Genomic DNA, 21,614 nt, shown 5'->3' with positions numbered 1-21,614 from the left:
TCACCGTTTTAGCCGGGATGGTCTCGATCTCCTGACCTCGTGATCCGCCCGCCTCGGCCTCCCAAAGTGCTGGGATTACAGGCGTGAGCCACCGCGCCCGGCCGTGAAAGCCATTTTCATCTACATTTTGATATAAAGCCCACCATATATGCACAACCAATTGCAGAAACCTGCCCTAGTGTCTACCCTACAGAGCAAAGTCCTAAAGGATATTCACTCTGCCCAAAAATATAATGGGAATTATAACTACCCAAGCCCCTTGTAACAAGTCAACTAAAGTTGGACCCCAGTGAAGACCCAGCAGCCTTGTTACCAAGCTACAACCCCTCTCCACTATAAGCCCAGAGGGCATTCTATCACCCTGGGCACCCAACAAAAGAATATCTTTACATCTTGAAGCCAGTTTATAAAAACCTGAAGAGGTGTTTGCTTCTTAAAATTCACAGAGAACAAAGCAAAACTATATTGTGCCCATTCTCAATGCTTCTACTTAAACATAGCACTGAAGGTACGTGGCAGAAAAATTAGTCAAAATAAATTTTTAAAGTCACTGACATTGAAGACAAGTAAGAAGCTGCTGGTTCTGGAGCATTTGACTTTATATATAAAAAACCATAAACAGTACATTAAAACCTGATTAAAGTAATAATTATACTCAATACATTAGCAAATAGAAAATTAACATACAACTATACGTTATGGTTCCATACACTTAAACTATCTGATAAAATATAGAAAGAAAGTAACCTTATTTACAATAGCACTAAAATAAATTTCTGAGAACAAATTTAACCAAGGAACTAAAAAATATTTTAAATGAAAGATATATCAATTAAAAAAATTAGAGAAGACACAAATAAATTTAAAAATATTTTATGTCTATTAATGGAAAGAATAAATATTGTTGCAGTGCCTTATTTTTAATTTTTATTTTTTTGACAGAGTCTCACTCTCTTGCCCTGGATGGAGTGCAGTGGCACAGTCTTGGCTCACTGCAACCTCCATTTCCCAGATTCAAGCAATTCTCCTGTCTCAGCCTCCCAAGTAGCTGGGATTACAGGTGCCTGCCACCACGTCCGGCTAATTTTTTGTATTTTTAGTAGAGACAGGGTTTCACTATGTTGGCCAGGCTGGTCTGGAATTCCTGACCTCATGATCCACCTGCCTCAGCCTCCCAAAGTGCTGGGATTACAGGTGTGAGCCACCATGCCCAGGCTAAAATGCCTTGTTATCTAAGGTGTCTCTAGATTCAATAAACTCCCATCAGAATTCCAGTTATTTAAGGTAATAGAAAATACAATTCCAAAATTTACATGAAACTACAATAAACTTTGAATAGCCAAAGCAATCCTGAAAGAAAAAAAAAAAAGCAGGAGGACATCATACTGTATAATTTCAAACTATATTTCAAAACTATAGTAATAAAACGGCATGGAATATGCAGAAAAATTAGCAATAAATAAATGAAACAGAAACCACTATTCTCACACATTTCAGACATAATGCAAAAAGATAACTTAAAAAATAGTTTAATTTGCTGGGTGTGGTGATGCACGCCTGTAATCCTAGCTACTCAGGAGGCTGAGGCAGGAGAATCACATGAATCCGAGAGACAGAGGTTGCAGTGAGCCGAGATCGCACCACTGCACTCCAGCCCTGGTGATAGTGCAAGACTCCGTCTCAAAAAAAATAAATAAATAAAATAAAAATAGTTCAACATAGAGTTTCTCAAAATTATTCAAATATCTGTGTGTTTCCAGAAACAATGGAAAAGCAGTGAGATTGTGCAGTCTATTATATGCCATGAAATGGACTTTGGCTCTCACTGTAAAGTAAGATTACCAAAGGGAAAGAATTTTTAGAGATTTTAAAAAAGATAAAACAAAAGATGCTTCTATGTGAGAGGAAAAAAAATAAATAAAAAGCAAAATAAATAAAAAGAAACAGAAACTATTTCCTTTGTAAAACAGCTTCCCAAATTATTTTAAAAACTGGTTTTTTTTCTTTTTTTAAACTATAGATCTCTTATCAGTTTTGTGTATTGTATTTACTGTCACCTACCTGGGGGTTTGGCTACCATATCATGTGTCTTCAAATTCCAAGGCTCTTTTTCTTGCTCCAGACAGGTGATCAGGTCTGGCTTTGAGACAGCAATACCTGTTTTATGAAAAATAACATGAATCTTGCTCATATTCTCCAATTACCAACTTAGTAATGCTCTCAGTAAAGAGAATGTAATGGAATATTCTAGTAAATTAACCCCAAAATAATAATTTATAAAAATTTTCTAAATAGACCAGGCACGGTGGCTCATGCCTTTAATACCAGCACTTTGGGAGGCTGAGGCAGGCAGATCACAAGGTCAGGAGTTCAAGACCAGCCTGGCCAACATAGTGAAACCCTGTCTCTACTAAAAATACGAAAAAATTAGCTAGGTGTGGTGGCACACGCCTGTAGTCCCAGCTACTCAAGAGGCCGAGGCAGGAGAATCGCTTGAACCCAGGAGGCAGAGGTTGCAGTGAGCCGACATTGTGCCACTGCACTCCAGCCTGGGTGACAGAATGAGACTCTGTCTCCAAAAAAATAAAAAAAATAAAGAAAAGAAATTTCTAAATATTTAAAAATATTTTAATTTTATAGGTTCTTAATTTAACTACTTTGTACTAATTCAAAAATTGGTGATGGTGATTAAATTTTAAGATGTGAGCAACAATATGTTGCAACTAAATTTCTAAAATTAATCCTAATCTAGAGTGAAGGAAACAAATCAGCTCAGGAAAGTGGAAAGTTCAGGTCAAAATAAAACATCTTGAAATTCTTTTCTACATGGACAAATCCTGAGGACTTTTTTTTTTTTTTTTTTTTTTTTTTTTTTTTTTTTTTATTGATCATTCTTGGGTGTTTCTCGCAGAGGGGGATTTGGCAGGGTCATAGGACAATAGTGGAGGGAAGGTCAGTAGATAAACAAGTGAACAAAGGTCTCTGGTTTTCCTAGGCAGAGGACCCTGCGGCCTTCCACAGTGTTTGTGTCCCTGGGTACTTAAGATTAGGGAGTGGTGATGACTCTTAACGAGCATGCTGCCTTCAAGCATCTGTTTAACAAAGCACATCTTGCACCGCCCTTAATCCATTTAACCCTGAGTGGACACAGCACATGTTTCAGAGAGCACAGGGTTGGGGATAAGGTCACAGATCAACAGGATCCCAAGGCAGAAGAATTTTTCTTAGTACAGAACAAAATGAAAAGTCTCCCATGTCTACTTCTATCCACACAGACCCGGCAACCATCCGATTTCTCAATTTTTTCCCCACTCTTCCCGCCTTTCTATTCCACAAAACCGCCATTGTCATCATGGCCCATCCCCAATGAGCCGCTGGGCACACCTCCCAGACGGGGTCGTGGCCGGGCAGAGGGGCTCCTCACTTCCCAGTAGGGGCGGCCGGGCAGAAGCGCCCCTCACCTCCTGGATGGGGCGGCTGGCCGGGCGGGGGGCTGACCCCCCCCCCCACCCTCCAGGACGGGGCGGCTGGCCAGGCAGAGGGGTCCTCACTTCCCAGTAGGGGCGGCCGGGCAGAGGCGCCCCTCACCTCCCGGACGGGGCGGCCGGCCGGGCGGGGGGCTGGCCCCCCCACCTCCCTCCCGGACAGGGCGGCTGGCCGACCCCCCTCCGCCTCCCTCCCGGACTGGGCGGCTGGCCGGGCGGGGGGCTGACCCCCCCACCTCCCTCCCGGACGGGGCGGCTGGCCGGGCAGAGGGGCAGGGGACAAATCCTGAGGACTTAAAAAAAAAAAGAAAAAGAAAAAGAAAAAAACCCGGGATCTGAAAGCACAGAATTTTTACAAAAATAAATGAAATCTATAGGGTATATTAGGAATTGTATATTAAAGTTATCCTCACCCAGGAAGACCAGGTTTCTGTAGTTATCTAACATTACATTTCTATATAAATTCTGTTGTTCGGTGTCCAGACATTGCCACTCCTCCAGAGAGAATTCTATGGCCACATCTCTAAATGTCAACGCTCCCTGAAAAACACAAACAAACACACATATTTACCAAGTGCCCCTGGGCAGAATTTTAAGTTTCACTCAAGGTGAAATAAGAGTAAATATAATTGGGTCTTACTTATAGGGGTGACTGAAATTATCTAATAACCTTCAACACAGAAATATTCTCTACTCTGTGAAAATATACTCTAACTCTGAGAAAAGAGATTGGCATAAGATCCAAAATATCAGTATTTATATGATACTTTTCCAGATGATGAAGTAAGACATGAACACTAACATGTACATTTTTGAGTGGTATATTTACATCATACAGAAAGAGTTGTGTAAACTTTTCAGATGGAAAAGTCACATTGAGTTAGAAGGTACTGCTCAAATTGTAATGTCTACAATAAACTGAAGATCTTGTTAATGCAGTCTGTGTCAGAAGGTCTGGAATAAAGCCTGAGTTTCTGGATCTTGGTGCGGTGGCTCATGCCTGTAATCCCAGCACTTTGGGAGGCCGAGGCAGGCGGATCACCTGAGGTCAGGATTTCGGGACCAGCCTGACCAACACAGAGAAATCCCATCTCTACTAAAAACACAAAATTAGCTGGCCATGGTGGCGCATGCCTGTAATTCCAGCTACTCGGGAAGGCTGAGGCAGGCGAATTGCTTGAACCTGGGAAACAGAGGTTGCAGTGAGCCAAGATTGTGCCATTGTAATCCAGCCTGGGCAATAAGAGTGAAACTGTCTCAAAAAAACAAAAACAAAAAAAAAACAAAAAAAACACAAGATGACCAGTGATGCCAATATTTATGGCCCAAGAAGGCTATTTTGTCAAATATGGAGTAACTGGAAGAGCCTGTAGTCTTTTTTTTCCAGTTTTTCTGGCCTGTAACAAACATTAGAGCTTTCATTTTCCATAGGCAGATAAAGGCAAAGAAAACATAAGAAGGGCAGCTGCCAGATTAAATGTGATGGTTTCTGCACATCAGCTGCATAAAGAAACTACTAATGAAGAGAAAAATAATTAACTCCATATTGAAGAAATCTGTCAGCTTCATTAATCAAGTGAGTTACTAATATCAACTGGACTAAGGCAAATTTTTATGATGTGCTGATGCACACAGGACACAGCATCACTGTTGTAATAGTGGCCCTCCAAAAGTAAATTACAGCCTGAATTTAACTACAAAGAAACATCAGTTTTATGCAAAGTTCAAAATACAGATATTTCCCATGTTCTATAATTGTTAATAGTTAATAGTTATTTTAAATAGTCTTTCTTTAGCACCATGGAGAACAAGTATCTCCTAATAATTTTTTTCAGAACTTACTGGGTAATAAATGCCACCCTGTTTAAATAAGCATTTTCTTAATCCTTCTCTACATAGAGCTGATGGAGAACACAGACAGAACCTCAACATTACATGGTCTTTATTTTTACTAAGAACCCTGGCGTTTCCCCAATAGGAATCTTGAGCATCCACACCTTCCCATGTTCAACAGCCACAAAGGGAACATTTTTAATATTGCAGATTATAAATTCATGGTGAGAATCATGGCATATAAGAAGCCATGATGTAGAGAATGTAGAGAAGGCTCTGGTACATAGGAAAGAAATATTTCTCTGAGATCCTTGACTATTATAAGAATTTTAAAACGTAGTTACAACAAACTCATTTAAGAGGAAAAGCACAAGTAGAGAATTAAAGTTTGGCAAGTACTAAAGGCATGGCATTCTAGCAGGCAGAGTGGACACAACCCTTACTCCAAGGCATGTTTAGCTGAAAAAAAGCCATTTTTTCTCTTCTCGTCTTTCTCTGGAATTTCTTCTCAGATGAGATTTTTGAAACAAATTACATCTGCATCTGGAGAATATGCCTTAACAATGTAAGCACCACATCTTTACCTGCTACCACCACACTCATAGGTAGAAGGACCAATACAGAAAAACTCTACCCATTTCTGTCCTTTATAACAGAAGAGATTGAGGAACAATAAGCTGCTCCACAGATGTAAAAATATGTTTCTCCTTTCCTGTCCTCAGGTGCCCTCCCCTGCCACAGACACCAGCAATTTCTGCTACAGTTAAGAAAAACGTGGGCCACACTGCCCTGTTCCTATGCAACCCAAACAGAACAGGTTCTGGGACCACCCTTTAGTGCAAAGATGAGACTTAACTATCATAAATGTATCTTGAACCCTCATACTTGATTCTGGCCTCAACTTAGAGTCACATGATTCTAATTAGAAGCCTGGGCTTATAACCATTTAACTAAGCATTGCCTCTCCAGCTTTAACAGCTTATAAATCACTTGGTAATTTTGGCCCTACTCTATGAAATGTGATTCTGCAGGTTTTGAAAGGATACAGGAATGGGTGTTATAAACAAGTTTCCTATCAATGCTGATGTTTCTCCACCTGGGGTCATTATTAGCATTAGTTAGAGCAAGCAGGCACAGCACAGAGTTCATTACACTCAGCACTCTTGTGACAATACAAACACTTTTGGTACAAATAAAGACAATCAATCTCCACCTTAAAGTATTATAATCTTTGCTGGCTTTTTTAAAGTTTACAGAAGAAACAGAAAGCAACAATGTTTTTTGTTTGTTTTTTGTTTTTGTATTTAGAAAGCAACGTTTAAGTCTGCATTTAGAAAACAACATATACACATGCAGTAATGCAATGTTTATTATTCAGGTACTACAAGCTCAATAAGATGCTACAGGGCACTGTGATAGCACATTACAGGATTTAATCTTAATAACACCCTGTGTGTTGATACTAAGTGTTCAATAATTCCCAGTATTTAGAAAAATGATCCATATTTTTTTCTGTTTCTCTGTCATTGACCTTTTAAAAAAATGTGTAGAATAAAAACTAAACATAAACAGATGAGAGGAATAGAGAAATGAAGAGTTTAATATAATTTACAGAAATTTTTATTGTTTTTATATTTACTTCTTGTGGCTTGGGGAGCAACGAGTAGATCTGCAGGAATGGAAAACAAGTTGCTAAATAAAATGTCTCTGCAAGCACTGGTTTTAATAATTTTAAAAAGACCCTAAAATTCATACTTTATATTTCTCATTTATCTGCTTTTCTGTTTCAGAAAATTGTGAGCACCAGCTCTAAAAATGGAACAGGATTCATCACCCAAAACTGATCTTTTCTAATCAGTTCTGTGAGATGAGACTCCAGGGTAGGGCCAGACTTAAATAAGGCCTTCAAAAGGGGTAAATCTGAACAGAACTGGGGCAGGGAGTGGACCCTAGCTAGAATTTGGTTCTGTATGCCAATGGGGATATTTCCAGTTTTGTTTTTCCTAAGCTTACCTAAGAGAAATTTAAATCTCAGAGTTTGTGTAATTTAAACCTTTTATAGTCACTTCCCTGTCAATTTTATATCATATACTAATAAGCCATTTAAACAAATCATTTAAGGTTTCCGCGGATAATTTTATTAAAAGATGAATATGTATTTTTAGTAAGGTAAAAGAAATACAAATAATCATAACAACCCTTCTGTTCATAAATATTCCTTCAGGTGAAAACACCAAAAGTCACAACAATATAAAGAACATGGCCGAAATAAAGCCCAAGTTTTTTTTGCACACATTTATTTACCTACCATATGATGCATAATTCAACCTTTATTCAGTTGCTAGTTTTATTAGTCTGTTCTCATGCTGCTGATAAAGACATACCTGAGACTGGGAAGAGAAAGAGATTTAATGGACTTACAGTTCTACGTGGCTGAGGAGGCCTCACAATCATGGCAAAAGACAAGGAGAAGCAAGTCACATTTTACATAGATAGTGGCAGGCAAAGAGAGAGCTTGTGCAGGAAACCTCCCGTTGTTACAACCATTATATATTCTGAAGTTCATTCACTATCACGAGAACAGCGCAGGGAAGACCCACTCCCATAACTGAATCATCTCCCACCGTGTTTTTCCCATGACTTGTGAGAATTACAATTCAAGATGAGATTTGGGTGGGGACACAGCAAAACCATATCATTCCACCCCTGGCCCCTCCAAATCTAATGTCTTTACATTGCAAAACCAATCATACCTTCCCAACAGTCCCCCAAAGTCTTTTTTTTTTTTTTTTTGAGGCGGAGTCTCGCTCCAGCACCCAGGCTGGAGTGCAGTGGCACGATCTTGGCTCACTGCAAGCTCTGCCTTCCGGGTTCACGCCATTCTCCTGCCGCAGCCTCCTGAGTAGCTGGGACTACAGGTGCCCGCCACCACATCCGGCTAATTTTTTTGTATTTTTAGTAGAGATGGGGTTTCACTGTGTTAGCCAGGATGGTCTCAATCTCCTGGCCTCGTGATCCACCCGTCTCGGCCTCCCAAAGTGCTGGGATTACTAGCATGAGCCACCACGCCCGGCCCAAAGTCTTAACTCATTTCAGCATCAACTCAAAAGTCCACAATTCAATGTCTTATCTGAAACAAGGCAAGTCCCTTCTGCCTATGAGCCTGTACAATTAAAAGCAAGTTAGTTACTTCCCTGATATAATGGGGGGGGGGATACAAGCATTGGGTAAATACAGTCATTCCATAAGGGAGAAATTGGCCAAAACAAAGGGGCTACTGGCCCCATGCGAGTCCAAAATCAAGCAGGGCAGTCAAATCTTAAAGCTCCAAAATGATCTCCTTTGACTCCATGTCCCGCATTGGGTCATGCTGATGCAAAAAGTGGGTTCCCATCGTCTTGAGCAGCTCCACCCCTGTGGCTCTGCAGGGTACAGCCTCCCTCCTGGCCACCTTCATGGGCTGGTGTTGAGTGCCTGTGGCTTCTCCGGGCACATGGTGCAAGCTGTCAGTGGATCTACCATTCTGGAATCTGGAGGACAATGGCCCTCTTCTCACAGCTCCACTAGGCGGTGCCCCAGTAAGGACTCTGTGTGGGGTCTCCAACCCAACATTTTTTTCTGTACTGCCCTAGCAGATATTCTTCATGAGGCCTTCACCCCTGCTGCAAACTTCTGCCTGGCCATCCAGGGGTTCCCATATAGCTCTGAAATCTAGGTGGAGGGTGCCAAACCTCAATTCTTGACTTCCGTGAACCCACAGGCTCAACACAATATGGAAGCTGCCAAGGCTTGGGGCTTCCACCCTCTGAAACAACAGCCTGAGCTCTACCTTGGCCCCTTTTAGCCATGACTGTAGTGGCTGGAATACAGGATACCAAGTCCCTAGGCTTCACAGAGCAGGGGAGCCCTGGGCCTGACCCACAAAGCCGTCTTTTTCTTTTAGGCCTCTGGGCCTGTGATGGAAGGGGCTGCAGAGAAGACCTCTGTCATGAACTGGAAACATTTTTCCCACAGCTGGCTTAAATTTCTCCTCAAAAAATGAGGTTTTCTATTCTATTGCATTGTCAGGCTGCAAATTTTCCAAACTTTTATGCTCTGTTTCCATTTTAAAACTGAATGCCCTTAACAGAACCCAAGTAATCTCTTGAATGCTTTGCTGCTTATAAATTTAATTTTTTTAAAATTTTGCTGTCAATAAGTTTATTTTCTTCATCTAAAAAATCCTCATTGAAAATTGTTTGGATTAGCTCTCAGAAGCCCACTCCTGAGCTCTGAGGAAGCTTGCCTTCTTTTGAGCTACTCGATCTTTTGAGCAAGGGACATTTTGGGATGGTTCCACTTCTTTTTCTTGGGCTTCTTCTCATAGACTGGATTCTCTCACATAGCAGCATGAGCTTTCTTATGCATCTCCTTCAAGTCTGGAGTTACGCTTTTGTTTATGTATTGAGAGAACTGTTTCCTGTAACCATCTTCATCATCCTTCATTAAGTAGTGCATGTAATCTGCAACATTCTGGCCTATGATGTACTTCTGGTGTACTGCTGCATTAAAGTCCTTGCTTTCAGAATCATAACCAGGGAACTGTTTGGTACTGTGAGGGATAGACAAGCCTCCATCTACTGCTCTCTTCAGGGAACCAAAAACTTTATTGCCAGTGGTAGTTCTGGCAAGGCCTACATCCAAATAGCAGGTGAAGGCACTTGGCTGACCATCAGTGCTTTCCACATTGTATTCATTGCCAGTCACCTCCACTTGGCCTTCACAGATCTTGTCCATGCCATAGGTCACAGATCTTGACCTACTGAGGAGCCTGCAGGCCAGCAGCAGGCCAGTACAATACATTGCAGTGTAATTGGTTAGGCCAACCTTCACATCATATTTTGGCAGTTTACGAGCATATGCTGTGTGTAATATCACATCCTCTTCTATACGGGTATAAGCAATCTGACAATATTTGTTTGTTACACAAACTATCATCCTGTGGAGCAGCCAGGATGGAAGACCTGGACGATGGCCCTAACTTCCTCTCAGGAAGAGAACTGTGGACTTAAAGCAATAAATGTAGATCTTCAAAGTGATCCTGCTCTGCTGGTGGACATTTCTGATGCTCTTAGTGAGCGGAATAAAGTAAAATTCACCATTCACACAAAGAGTTTATTGCCAAATTTTAAACAAAATGAGTTTTCTGTTGTTCAGCAACATGAGCAATTTATCTGGCTTCATGATTCCTTTGTTAAAAATGAAGACTATGCAGGTTACATCATTCCACCAGCACCACCAAGAGCTGATTTTGATGCTTCAAGGGAAAAAGTACAGAAGCTTGGAGAAGGAGAAGGGTCAATGACAAAGGAAGAATTCACAAAGATGAAACAGGAACTGGAAGCTGAATATTTGGGAATATCCAAGAACACAGTTGTGATGCATGAAGTGTTCCTATGTCATGTGACAGCACATCCTATTTTGAGAAAATATTTAAATTTCCATGTCTTCTTGGAATATAATCAAGATTTGAGTGTGCAAGGAAAAATAAAAAGAGAAACTTGAAGATTTCTTTAAAAACATGGTTAAATCAGCAGATGGAGTAATTATTTCCGGAGTAAAGGATGTAGATAATTTCTTTGAGCATGAACAAACATTTCTTTTAGAATATCATAACCGAGATAAGGATGCATCTGCTAACTCATAGAAGGACAAGATCCCACAAAAGTGCTGCAGATTATTACAATAGAATTGGTTCTTCATTATATGCTTTAGGAACTCGGGATTCTACAGATATACGCAAGTTTTTTCTCAAAGTTTCAGAAATGTTTGATAAAACAAGAAAAATAGAAGCATGAGTGTCTGCTGATGAGGACCTCAAACTTTCTGACCCTTAAAAATATTACTTAAGAGAAACTCAAGCTGCTAAGGATCTCCTGTATTGAAGGTCTAGGTCACTACTGGATTATGAAAATGCTAATATAGCACTGGATAAAGCAAGAGCAAAAAATAAAGATGTTCTGCTGGCTAAAACTTCCCAACAATTATGTAGTCAGAAATTTGAAAAAAAAAAATCTCAGTCTGCAAAACAAGAACTTATAGATTTTAAGACAAGAAGCATTGCTGCATTCAGAAAAAAAAAAAAACTAGTGGAACTGGCAGAGTTAGAACTGAAGCATGCAAAGGGTAACCTACAGTTGCTGCCAAACTGCCTGGCAGTGCTAAACGGAGACACATAAGCCACATTCTGCCTTCCTGTTGAAAAGGGCTGCCTTCCTTCAAATTTTATTTTTGTTTTCTTAATGATGTTACGCATTTATGCTCACTGGAAACAAATAAAAAACAGCTGACAAAATGGATCTACTCTTTTTCTGAGAAGCATGGAGCAGCACCATGTACAGGCGATGCCAGTCTGTGTGGTGTAATGCCGCACTGTGTTCCCCAAGATAGTGGCCCATTATTGTGCACTCATCATACTCAGAAGTCCAAGTTTTATTCTTCTTTAAAGTAGCCTCTATAACTGCATTTATTTTATAAATAGTATTCCTTATGGATGCCAATCTTATTTACCTTTAAATAATTTCTGAAGTTTAACCTTTTCAGAATGCATTGTTCAAACAAGATAAAGATTGCCTTTATTGCCTTTAAAACAGAATTTTTTAAAATTTTGTTTTAAAAAAGCATTATATACCACCTTAGTTCATTCATGTATCCTGGTAAAGCATCTTAATCAGACTTATTTTTAACTACTGAATATTTCTTAGAAGTTTTGGTACAGATTTTATGTAATCTTTATGATTTCTGAAGAAAAGCAAATGCATTAGTATGTTTGCCTTAAACTTGTAGACTAAACCAATTATTGTAAAATAAACAGCAATAACAGTGAGAGTTTTTAACTCTGTGGTCACTGTATCACTCTTCAACATTTGGAGTAGCTATAATAAATCTACTCCTGCATTATGCTTTAAAAAACCCAACTAACAAAAAAACTATCATCCTGTATTTGGGTGTGTTGTATTTATTTTTATCCTGTATCATCAAGCATTTCCAAGAATAGTAATTAGCTTTATCCTCTTGTCCTCTAAATTTCATTTGTTATCTCTTAAAATAGGCATTATTTTTAACAACTTTAACAAAACCTATCCTGCAGAACAGAGACTGGCATCCATGGCTCAACAGAGACCTGCCTTGCTTAGAAATTTCTTCTGCCAGATAACCTAAATCATCTCTCTCAAGTTCAAAGTTTCACAAATCTCTAGGGAAGGGGCAAAATAACACCAGTCTCTTTGCTAAAACATAAGAAAAGTCACCTTTGCTCCAGTTCTCAGCAAGTTCCTCATGTCCATCTGAGACCATTTCAGCCTGGATTTTATTTTCTATATCATTATCAGCATCTTGGTCACAGCCATTCAACAAGTTTCTAGGGAGTTCCACACTTTCCCACATTTTCCTGTCTTCTGAGACCTCCAAACTGCTCCAACCTCTGCCTGTTGCCCAGTTCCAAAGTCACATGCACATTTTCAGGTATCTTTTCATCAATGCCCGGCTCTACTGGTAACAATTTTTTGTATTAGTCTGTTCTCACACTGCTGATAAAAACACACCAGAGACTGGGAAGAAAAAGAGATTTAATGGACTTACAATACCACATGGCTGGGGAGGCCTCGCAATCATGGCAGAAGGCAAGGAGAAGCAAGTCATATCTTACGTGGATGGTGGCAAGCAAAACGAGAGCTTGTGCAGGGAAACTCCCATTTTTAAAATCATCAGATCTTGTGAAACTCATTCACTATCATGAGAACAGTGCAGGAAACACCTCCCCTCATAATTTAATCACCTCCATCTGGGTTCCTACCACAACATGTAGAAACTGTGGGAGTTACAATTTAAGATGAGATTTGGGTGGTGACATAGCCAAGCCATATCACTAGTCTAGACTAAAAGTTTCTGTATGATAAGAACCATAACTGCTCTACCTATTTTTCTAATGATAATATGAAATGAAAGCAATCAGTTTATCTGTTTTAGTTTCTAGACCTCTTCCTTGTTTTTCACCCAAGTACAAGAAAACTGGGGAAACTATCATCTGAGTACCAACCAAAATTATCTCTTGTATGAGGGAGGAACAAACACAGAATGACTCATTTCTTTTACACTGAGAAAGAAGTAGCATTAACCACTCTTGTCAGCCTGATAAAATTCTGCTCTGGATATTCTCAAATGTTTCAAAGATGGCTAGGTAATTGTGAGAGGGTTCCCAGTTACCCTGGGTTGATTGCCCAATGATAAGCCAGGCAGGAGAGACTCAGGCTGATTCTAAATAAAAAATGGAACTGCTCTGGTCGAGCTCCAGAACCTGGATCACCTGTCCTGATTCTAGCTCTTCAGTAAGAGGAAGGACAACAATACTGTATTCCAGTCTTGCATTTTACTGGTAGGTATAGTTGTGGTTATGGCTCTGGATACTTTGTAGCCTTGATCTTTCACTCCTAAGATGCTTGTTTACATTTACAGATTTGGCCATCAGATTCTATTTACTCTCGGAACCTCTCACAGAATGTAGAACATGCAGCACCCTGCTTGCGTTCTCCTAGTGGCCAGTGTCCTCTCTTTACGCCTACCAACTTCCACTGAAACACAGCCCACAACACACAGCTCAAAGCTGCTGGTTCACATCTTACATGAACCCCAATGCCACAGCAGTACTCTAGTGTCACATCAGAGAGTGGAGCCTGCGCTGCAGGGAGAGGAGACTGCAGGCCTCCTGGGTAGAACTGCACCTTCACAGTAATGGGAATGGGAGCAGTATTTCACCCTCAGTTTCTATTTATAAGGGTGACATAAAAAAAAAAGTACTGCTAGATTTCCAGCATGAATCCAGATAGAGATAACTCCAAGAATATTCTCCCTGTGACAACCCACCTCATTCACAGAGACCATGGGATACTAATAGGGTTTCTGAAACAGACACCCAAAGCATTGGAGAGAAAAACAGCTCTCAATCTGAGCAAGATTATATTGAAAGAAAAAATAAGCTAAAAGCATCTTAAGAAAAAACTCAGATTAGATGTAAGACTGATCAACTTGGCCAGAAGATAGTCCCCCAAAAGGAATTTTTCTTGAAACACTCAAAATGCATGGCTACTCTCAGCATGAGAAACATGAGCATTATGAAAAAAAAAGGCATGTTCTCAGCAGAATTTTATAAGGTTTCTTTTTTTTTTTTTTTTGAGATGGAGTCTTGGAGTCTCGCTGTGTTGCCTAGGCTGGAATGCAGTGGCACGATCTCGGCTCACTGAAAGCTCCACCTCTTGGGTTCAGGCCATTCTCCTGCCTCAGCCTCCCAAGTAGCTGGGACTACAGGTGCCCGCCACCACTCCTGGCTAATTTTTTGTAGTTTTTAGTAGAGACGGGGTTTCACCATGTTAGCCAGGATGGTCTTGATCTCCCGACCTCGTGATCCACCTGCCTTGGCCTCCCAAAGTGCTGGGATTACAGGCGTGAGCCACCGTGTCTGGCCTATAAGGTTTCTTTTTCATGTCTGCTGCTCTCCCATCTCCTAACCAGTGAATTGGGGATCTATATTGGAATACATCTGACAATTTTCACCAGCACTTTTTGATGAAAAACTGGAATCTGACTTTGTTATACAGTGGAATATATTTGAGCTTGCAACATAGCTAACTGAAGAGCTATTATGGTTTTGGGTGGTCACATAGCCCATTATGTTTATTTGTCCTGTAAAAGCAGCATTCAAATTCAGTGAAATGAAAGACACTAAAACAATGCTTACCTATAATTATCCTATTGGATAAATTAATAAGCATGTCAAACTAATAACAACTGTAACAATTTTGTAGTGAATTTTCTTTGGATATTAGATATAAATATCTAAGTATAAATAATTTTAATGTACTTGTCATAATGTATGTAGAACTTTAAAAATATCTATAACCATAATTCAGTTAAAACACTTTATATTTCAAGAGTATAAATAACAATATTAAAATGACTAAAGGGATTTATTCAAATATTGTAGCCTTATATTCATACTATTATACAAAATGTTAATTTGTGTGAATGCAAGTTGTCTACAAACACTACACCTAACTATACTAATTGTTCTGAAGTAACAGAAACCAAAGTCCACCTACAGATTCCACTATTTAGTGAATAAACTGAACTGTTCTTGCCTTTGCAGTGTAAGTACTTTAGCCTGCAAATATGAGATAATTACCTTGGATAATCAGTTTTCTGTCAAAAAAGTTTACTCAGTATCTTTTTTATTCTTTATCATTCTGTGTTGCTAAATTTAATCTTATCTTTGTGCTCAACTTTTGTGTGCTCTTAAAATAAGCTTTAAACGGCCCGATGTGGTGGCTCACGCTTGTAATCCCAGCACTTTGGGAGGCCAAGGCAGGAGGATCACCTGAGGTCAGGAGTTTGAGACTAGCCTGGCCAGTATGGCAAAACTCAGTCTCTACTAAAAATATAAAAAAATTAGTCAAGGGTGGTGGCAGGAGCCTGTAATCCCAGCTACTTGAATGGCTGAGGCAGGAAAATCATTTGAACTGGGAGGTGGAGGTTGCAAGGAGCCAAGATCGTGCCATTGTATTCCAGCCTGGGCGACAAGAGTGAAACTCTGTCTAAAAAAAAAAAAAAAAAAAAAAAAAAAGCTTTAAACAAATTTGTGTCTACTTTAAAAGACTAAAAATGAAAATAAACAAAAACAAAAAAAAACCTTTGCCAAAGCAAAAACAAAGCAATGGTTCTGAGGTCCTAGATGAAGACAATTCTGAGTCAGAAAGAATAACAAAAGGTTTATATAGCTGTTACTATGATTTACATATATTTCTAAAAAGCAGAGAAAACTATCTACGTGTAATCTAAATGTTTTAAAAAAAGAGAGATGAACAAAATATCCTCCCTTACTTTCACGTAAGAGAATAAAGCCTCTTATCTTTAATTTATACTTTTTTCTACAACAGCCAAGTCTCTGGACATGTTCTTGAACACTGGACATCTGAACTTCAGTAGACACTGGATGCAGACATCTAAGCTGTAGCCTTGGGCATACGGTATGCACTTGAAAGAATGTTTATGAAAAAAAGCAGACAGAAAAAATATGTTATTAAAAATCCATGCACGCACATGAATAAAACAAGTTCTGCTGGGCATGGCAGCTCACGCCTGTAATCTCAGCACTTTGGGAGGCTGAGGCAGGTGGATCACGAGGTCAGGAGTTCAAGACCAGCCTGACCAACATGGTGAAACCTGGTCTCTACTGAAAATACAAAAATTAGCCAGGCATGGTGGCACACTCCTGTAATCCCAGCTACTCAGGAGGCTGAAGCAGCAGGAGAATCTCTTGAACCTGGGAGGCGGAGGTTGCAGTGAGCCGAGATCGTGCCACTACACTCTAGCCTGGGCAACAGAGCAAGACTCTGTCATACACACACACACACACACAAAGTTCTTAGAGAACTATGAAGAGATTTAGATTCTGACTCCTACAACACCCCATGGACACTATTAGACAGATCACTGAGGCAGAAAATTAACAAAGATATCAGAACTAAATGCTTGACCAAATAGTCCTAATAGACATCTACAACACTCTCCATCTGAAATCTACACAGTATACACTCTTCTCACCACCACGTGTCAAATACTCTAAAACTGACCACACAATCAGAAATAAAACAATTATCAGCAAATTTAATAATACCCAAATCATACCAAACACATTCTTAGGCCACAGCTTGATAAATATATAATTCAACACAAAGAAAACTACTTGAAATTATACAATTACATGGAAATTAAAGAATCTGCATGTGAATGACTTTTGAATAAATAATGAAATTAAGGTAGAAATTAAGCAGTTTTTTGAAACAAATGGGAACAAAGATACAACATACTAGAATCTCTGCAACATGGCTAAGACAGTGGTAAGAGGGAAATGTATAGCACTTTTTGATGCTCACATCAGAAAGTTAGAAAGAGGTCAATATAACAACCTAACATCATAAATAAAAGAATGAAAGAAGCAAGAGAAAACCAACTCCTAAGCTAGCAGAAGACAAGAAGATCTGAACTGATGGAGATTTAGACATGAAAAGTCATACAAATAAGAAATCTATTGAGTTAAATCTTTTGAAAAATTTAATAAGATAATAACCACTTATCTTATTATCTTATAACAAAGTTAATAAGATTAATAAACCACTAATAAGATTAGTGAAAAAAGAAGAACCAAATAAACACAATTAGAAATGACAAAAGCGACATTACCACTGACCCCACAAAAATATGAATAAGTACTGAAGTCTACTACAAACTTCTCTGTGAAAACTAGAAAATCTAAAAAAAAAAAATGGATAAATTTCTGGAAAAATCCATCTTCCCATAACTGAACAAAAACAACAAAATGAATCAGTGAATAGACCAATAACAAGCTCCAAAATTGAAATAGTAGTAAACAGCCTACCAACCAAAAGAAAGCCCAGGACCAGCCAGTTGTGCTGGCTCATGCCTGTAATCCCAGCACTTTGGGAAGCCGAGGTGGGAGGATCACCTGAGGTTAGGAGTTCGAGACCAGCCTGGCCAACATGGTGAAATACTGTCTCTACTACAAATACAAAAATTAGCCGGTCATGGTGGCACCCGCCTGTAGTCCTGGCTACTTGGGAGGCTGAGGCAGGAGAACTGCTTGAACCTGGGAGGTGGAGGTTGCAGTGAGCCGAAATCCCACCACTGCATTTCAGCCTGGGCAACAGAGCGAGGCTCTGCCTGAGAAAAAAAAAAAAAAAAAAGAAAGAAAGTGAGTCCAGGACCAGACAGATTCACAGCTGAATTCTAACAAATGTACAAAGAAAAACAAGTATTATATCTTACAAAACTATTTTAAAAAATTGAGAAGAAGGGACTCCTCCCCAACTCATTATATAAAAGCAGCATCATTCTTTTTATTTATTTATTTATTTATTTTTGAGACGGAGTCTCATTCTGTCGCCAGGCTGGAGTGCAGTGGCGCGATCTTGGCTCACTGCAACCTCTGCCTCCTAGGTTCAAGTGATTCTCCTACCTCAGCCTCCCGAGCAGCTGGGATTACAGGTGTGCACCACCACACCCAGCTACTTTTTGTATTTTTAGTAGAGACAGGGTTTCACCATGTTGGCCAAGATCATCTCCATCTCTTGACCTCCTGATCCACCCACCTCAGCCTCCCAAAGTGCTGAGATGGCGTGAGCCACTGCTCCTGGCAACAGCATCATTCTAATACCAAAATCTGGCAGAGATAAAACAAAAAAAGGAAACTTCAGGCTAATATCCTTGATGAACACTGATGTAAAAATCTTCAACAAAATACTAGCAAACCAAATCCAGCAGCACATTAAAAAGCTAATCCACTATGATCAAGTAGGTTGTATCCCTGGGATGCAAGGTTTGTTCAACATACACAAATCAATATGTTTGATTAATCAGATAAACAAACTACAGATAAAAACCACAAAATTATTTCGATACAGAAAAAGTTTTCAATAAAAGTTAATATCCTTCATGTTTAACACCCTCAACAAACTTGGCATTGAAGGCAAATAGTTCAAAATAATGAGTTATCTATGACAAACCCACAGCCAACATACTGAATGGACACAAGCTGGAAACATTCCTTCTTGAAAACTGGAGCAAGAATGCCTTCTCTCACCCCCACTATTCAACATAAAATTGGAAGTCCTGGCCAGAGCATTCAGGCAAGAGAAAGAAATAAAACACATCCAAACAGGAAGAGAGGAAATTAAAACAATCTCTGTTTGCAGATGATTCTTTTTCTTTTTATAAAATTTAGCATTAAACTCAGAAATTAAGATAACAGGATAGAGAACAGAGATATTCACTGTCACAAATTTACCCTGCAAAAATAACAACCGATGATTTCATAAATCTTGTAACTCACCCATTATCTACAACATTTGGTTGTAGAATGCTACCAAATAAAAGAATAGGTAAAATCTGCCATTTGGATACTATTTTTTCCATGAATCTCAGAGAATCCGAGGGGCAGAAATCACTTCTGTTTTTCCCTCAATACCCGCATAAGATTGGCTGACCCGCAATGTGTCTCTAAGAAAGGGAAGCTAGGTTGGGTGAAGACAATGTTAATGTCTGAAGTGGTTAGCTTTTCAAAGACACCAGGAGATTCCTCTTAGCCCCAGGGCATCCACCTGCTCTCTTGAGAGACTACACTTCATACCTCTTGTTGTCCTGTGAGAGAAAATGACCCAGAAGCTAATAATCATCAAACACTCTAGCAGACATAGCCATGGTGTGTACCCTGGTTTATTCACAGCCAGTACTGAAAACCAGGACCAGGAAAAAACTAAAGGGTGGCTGAGAATACATCATCCCATAAAAATTAAAAAAACAAAAAAAAAAAACAAAAAACAAACTTGACCCCAAAACACTTTCACAAGATCTCTGTGCCTAGGGGAGACAAAAGAAAAAGAGGCACAGAGATTTTTTTACAATACAGTGTCAGGGAATTAGTTTTGGTTTATTTTCATGGGCGATATTTACAAACAGAAAACAAATCTTTTTAAATGTCCCACCCAATGGTTTGTAAAAAAATAATTAAAATACAGTATCAAAAATGTACCCTAAAGGACAAACAGATAATAATGTGAATTAGAGAGGGAAAGTTGGCATTTGGGATAATCAGAAGAAACTGGAAATTTAGTATTTTACTGCAAGACAGAGTTAGGCTGGAGGAATGGGGGTTGAGGGGTAGACTTGAGACCCCGTTTGAGAAACATGAAAAAAAAATGCAGAAGATCAGTCTCCTGTGGAGTGTGAAAATAGTTAAGTGACAGGCAATTCGAGGTACGTGGCTGCGATGCCTGGATTCCTACTTTAAAAAAAAATGTAACTCAAATGTATTTTTTTGTAAATTACTACATTAAGGAAAACAAAATTTAGGCGTAACAAACTATAAACTGCCTATTAAGCTCTGATTACATAACCAGAAAATTTGTACGCTCAAGGTGCAAATTTAGAAACTATGTAACTGTACCTAACCGATTACTGAATTTGGGTTTTTGCATCATGCATCTTATGAAAGTCTTTCCTTCAAGCCCGTCCCATGGATAACAAGCTACACCCCATAACTGGGTGCTCTACAATTTTAGAATCATTCTTTAATTAAATTCTTTAATATTTTGGTGATGACTCCCATAAATTTTTAACAGAAGGAAAGAGGAATTGGGAACGCCACAGACCAAAGCTCTTCCCATTCATGAACCCGCAGCCCGAGTCAGGATTCTCCTCTGACGATCCTCTCTGGTTCCTGCATAATCTGGGAGAGACGCAGCGCTGCGGGTGCAGAGCTGCCCAGAGAGGGCTCCAGGGCAGGGCACAGTCACAGTGCAGGGAAGAGACAGGACGCCGGGGCCCCGGCTGTCAGCGCGGCCGCCATCGTATGGCTGAAGGGGACTGAGGCCGAGCTGGGCAAGAACTCTGGGCGCAGATTGTGAAGCTGACTGCGGGGAGGCCTGGGTCCCGCCACAGCCGCTTCCCACCGGTTCCAACCAGCCCCGTTCCCTCTCTCGGGATGTCGGACCGGCACTCTCACCATTTCTAGGCTTCCAGGGGGCCCTGGCGTCTTAGCTGTGGATCTCCCAATACCCGCAGGTCGCAGGGCCACACAGGCTGGGCTTCTACGTGCAGAGGACACAAAGCAGACAGACGAAAATTGGAGCTTCGGCGGCAGCGAGAAACAAAGGCCGCGCCAAATCCCGGAAGCCGCCCTGTCTGCTCCAGCTGCGGGCCTGATTGGACGGCCCCCCGCCCAGTGTCCCCGATTGGATAACGTTTAAGGCCCCGCCCCCTCAGGCCCTGAGTGACAGATGTGATCAGATGCTGGACTGAATGAAGAGTGACAGCGTAGGCTGCAGCCTTTTCGGGCAGGACTTCCTCCCTGAACTGAGACAGGCCCACCCCAGAGGGTACTGACTTTAACCTTTTGTGTAAGATCATATGTATTTATAAATAATACGCTATATGAATATTCACAAATCAAAAGAACATAGACCGGGCGCGGTGGCTCACGCCTGTAATCCCAGCACTTTGGGGGGCCGAGGCGGGTGGATCATCTGAGGTCAGGAGTTTGAGACCAGCCTGGCCAACAAGTGAAACCCCGTCTCTACTAAAAATACAAAAAAAAAAAAAAAAAAAAGTAGCTGGGAGTAGTGGCGCGCGCCTGTAATCCCAGCTACTCGGGAGGCTAAGGCAGGGGAATCGCTTGAACCCAGGAGGTGG

At 40.2% G+C, this 21,614-nt stretch overlaps 1 protein-coding gene and 3 pseudogenes across 16 annotated transcripts in view; 2 read left to right on the top strand and 2 right to left on the bottom strand.

Moving 5' to 3' along the window:
* The window catches only part of ZNF730 (zinc finger protein 730), a 72,011-nt gene that overhangs the window by 9,117 nt on the left and 41,280 nt on the right, over positions 1-21,614 (bottom strand). For 9 of the 16 annotated variants that reach the window (XM_047437995.1, XM_047437996.1, XM_047437997.1 and 6 more), the window contains 2 exons: positions 3,899-4,025; positions 2,062-2,157 (listed from right to left, as the gene is read on the bottom strand). In XM_047437995.1, the coding sequence (XP_047293951.1) occupies positions 2,062-2,157; positions 3,899-3,932 (130 nt within the window). In that variant the 5' untranslated portion in view covers positions 3,933-4,025. Of the gene's footprint in view, positions 1-2,053; positions 2,158-3,898; positions 4,026-7,626; positions 7,740-12,607; positions 15,967-17,874; positions 17,919-20,928; positions 21,081-21,614 lie in introns of those variants that run through there. The other 7 variants (NM_001277403.2, XM_047438001.1, XM_017026114.2 and 4 more) reach the window with 7 other exon arrangements.
* On the bottom strand, positions 9,504-12,484 carry LOC100419307 (ribosomal protein L5 pseudogene; annotated as a pseudogene).
* On the top strand, positions 10,301-12,264 carry SNX6P1 (sorting nexin 6 pseudogene 1; annotated as a pseudogene).
* BNIP3P37 (BCL2 interacting protein 3 pseudogene 37) lies at positions 14,017-14,917 on the top strand (annotated as a pseudogene).

This window comes from Homo sapiens, chromosome 19, assembly GCF_000001405.40.
Source record: "Homo sapiens chromosome 19, GRCh38.p14 Primary Assembly".
Classification (NCBI taxonomy): Eukaryota; Metazoa; Chordata; class Mammalia; order Primates; family Hominidae; genus Homo; species Homo sapiens.
Note: the sequence above shows the minus strand (reverse complement) of the source record. Positions and strands in the feature narration are given on the sequence as shown.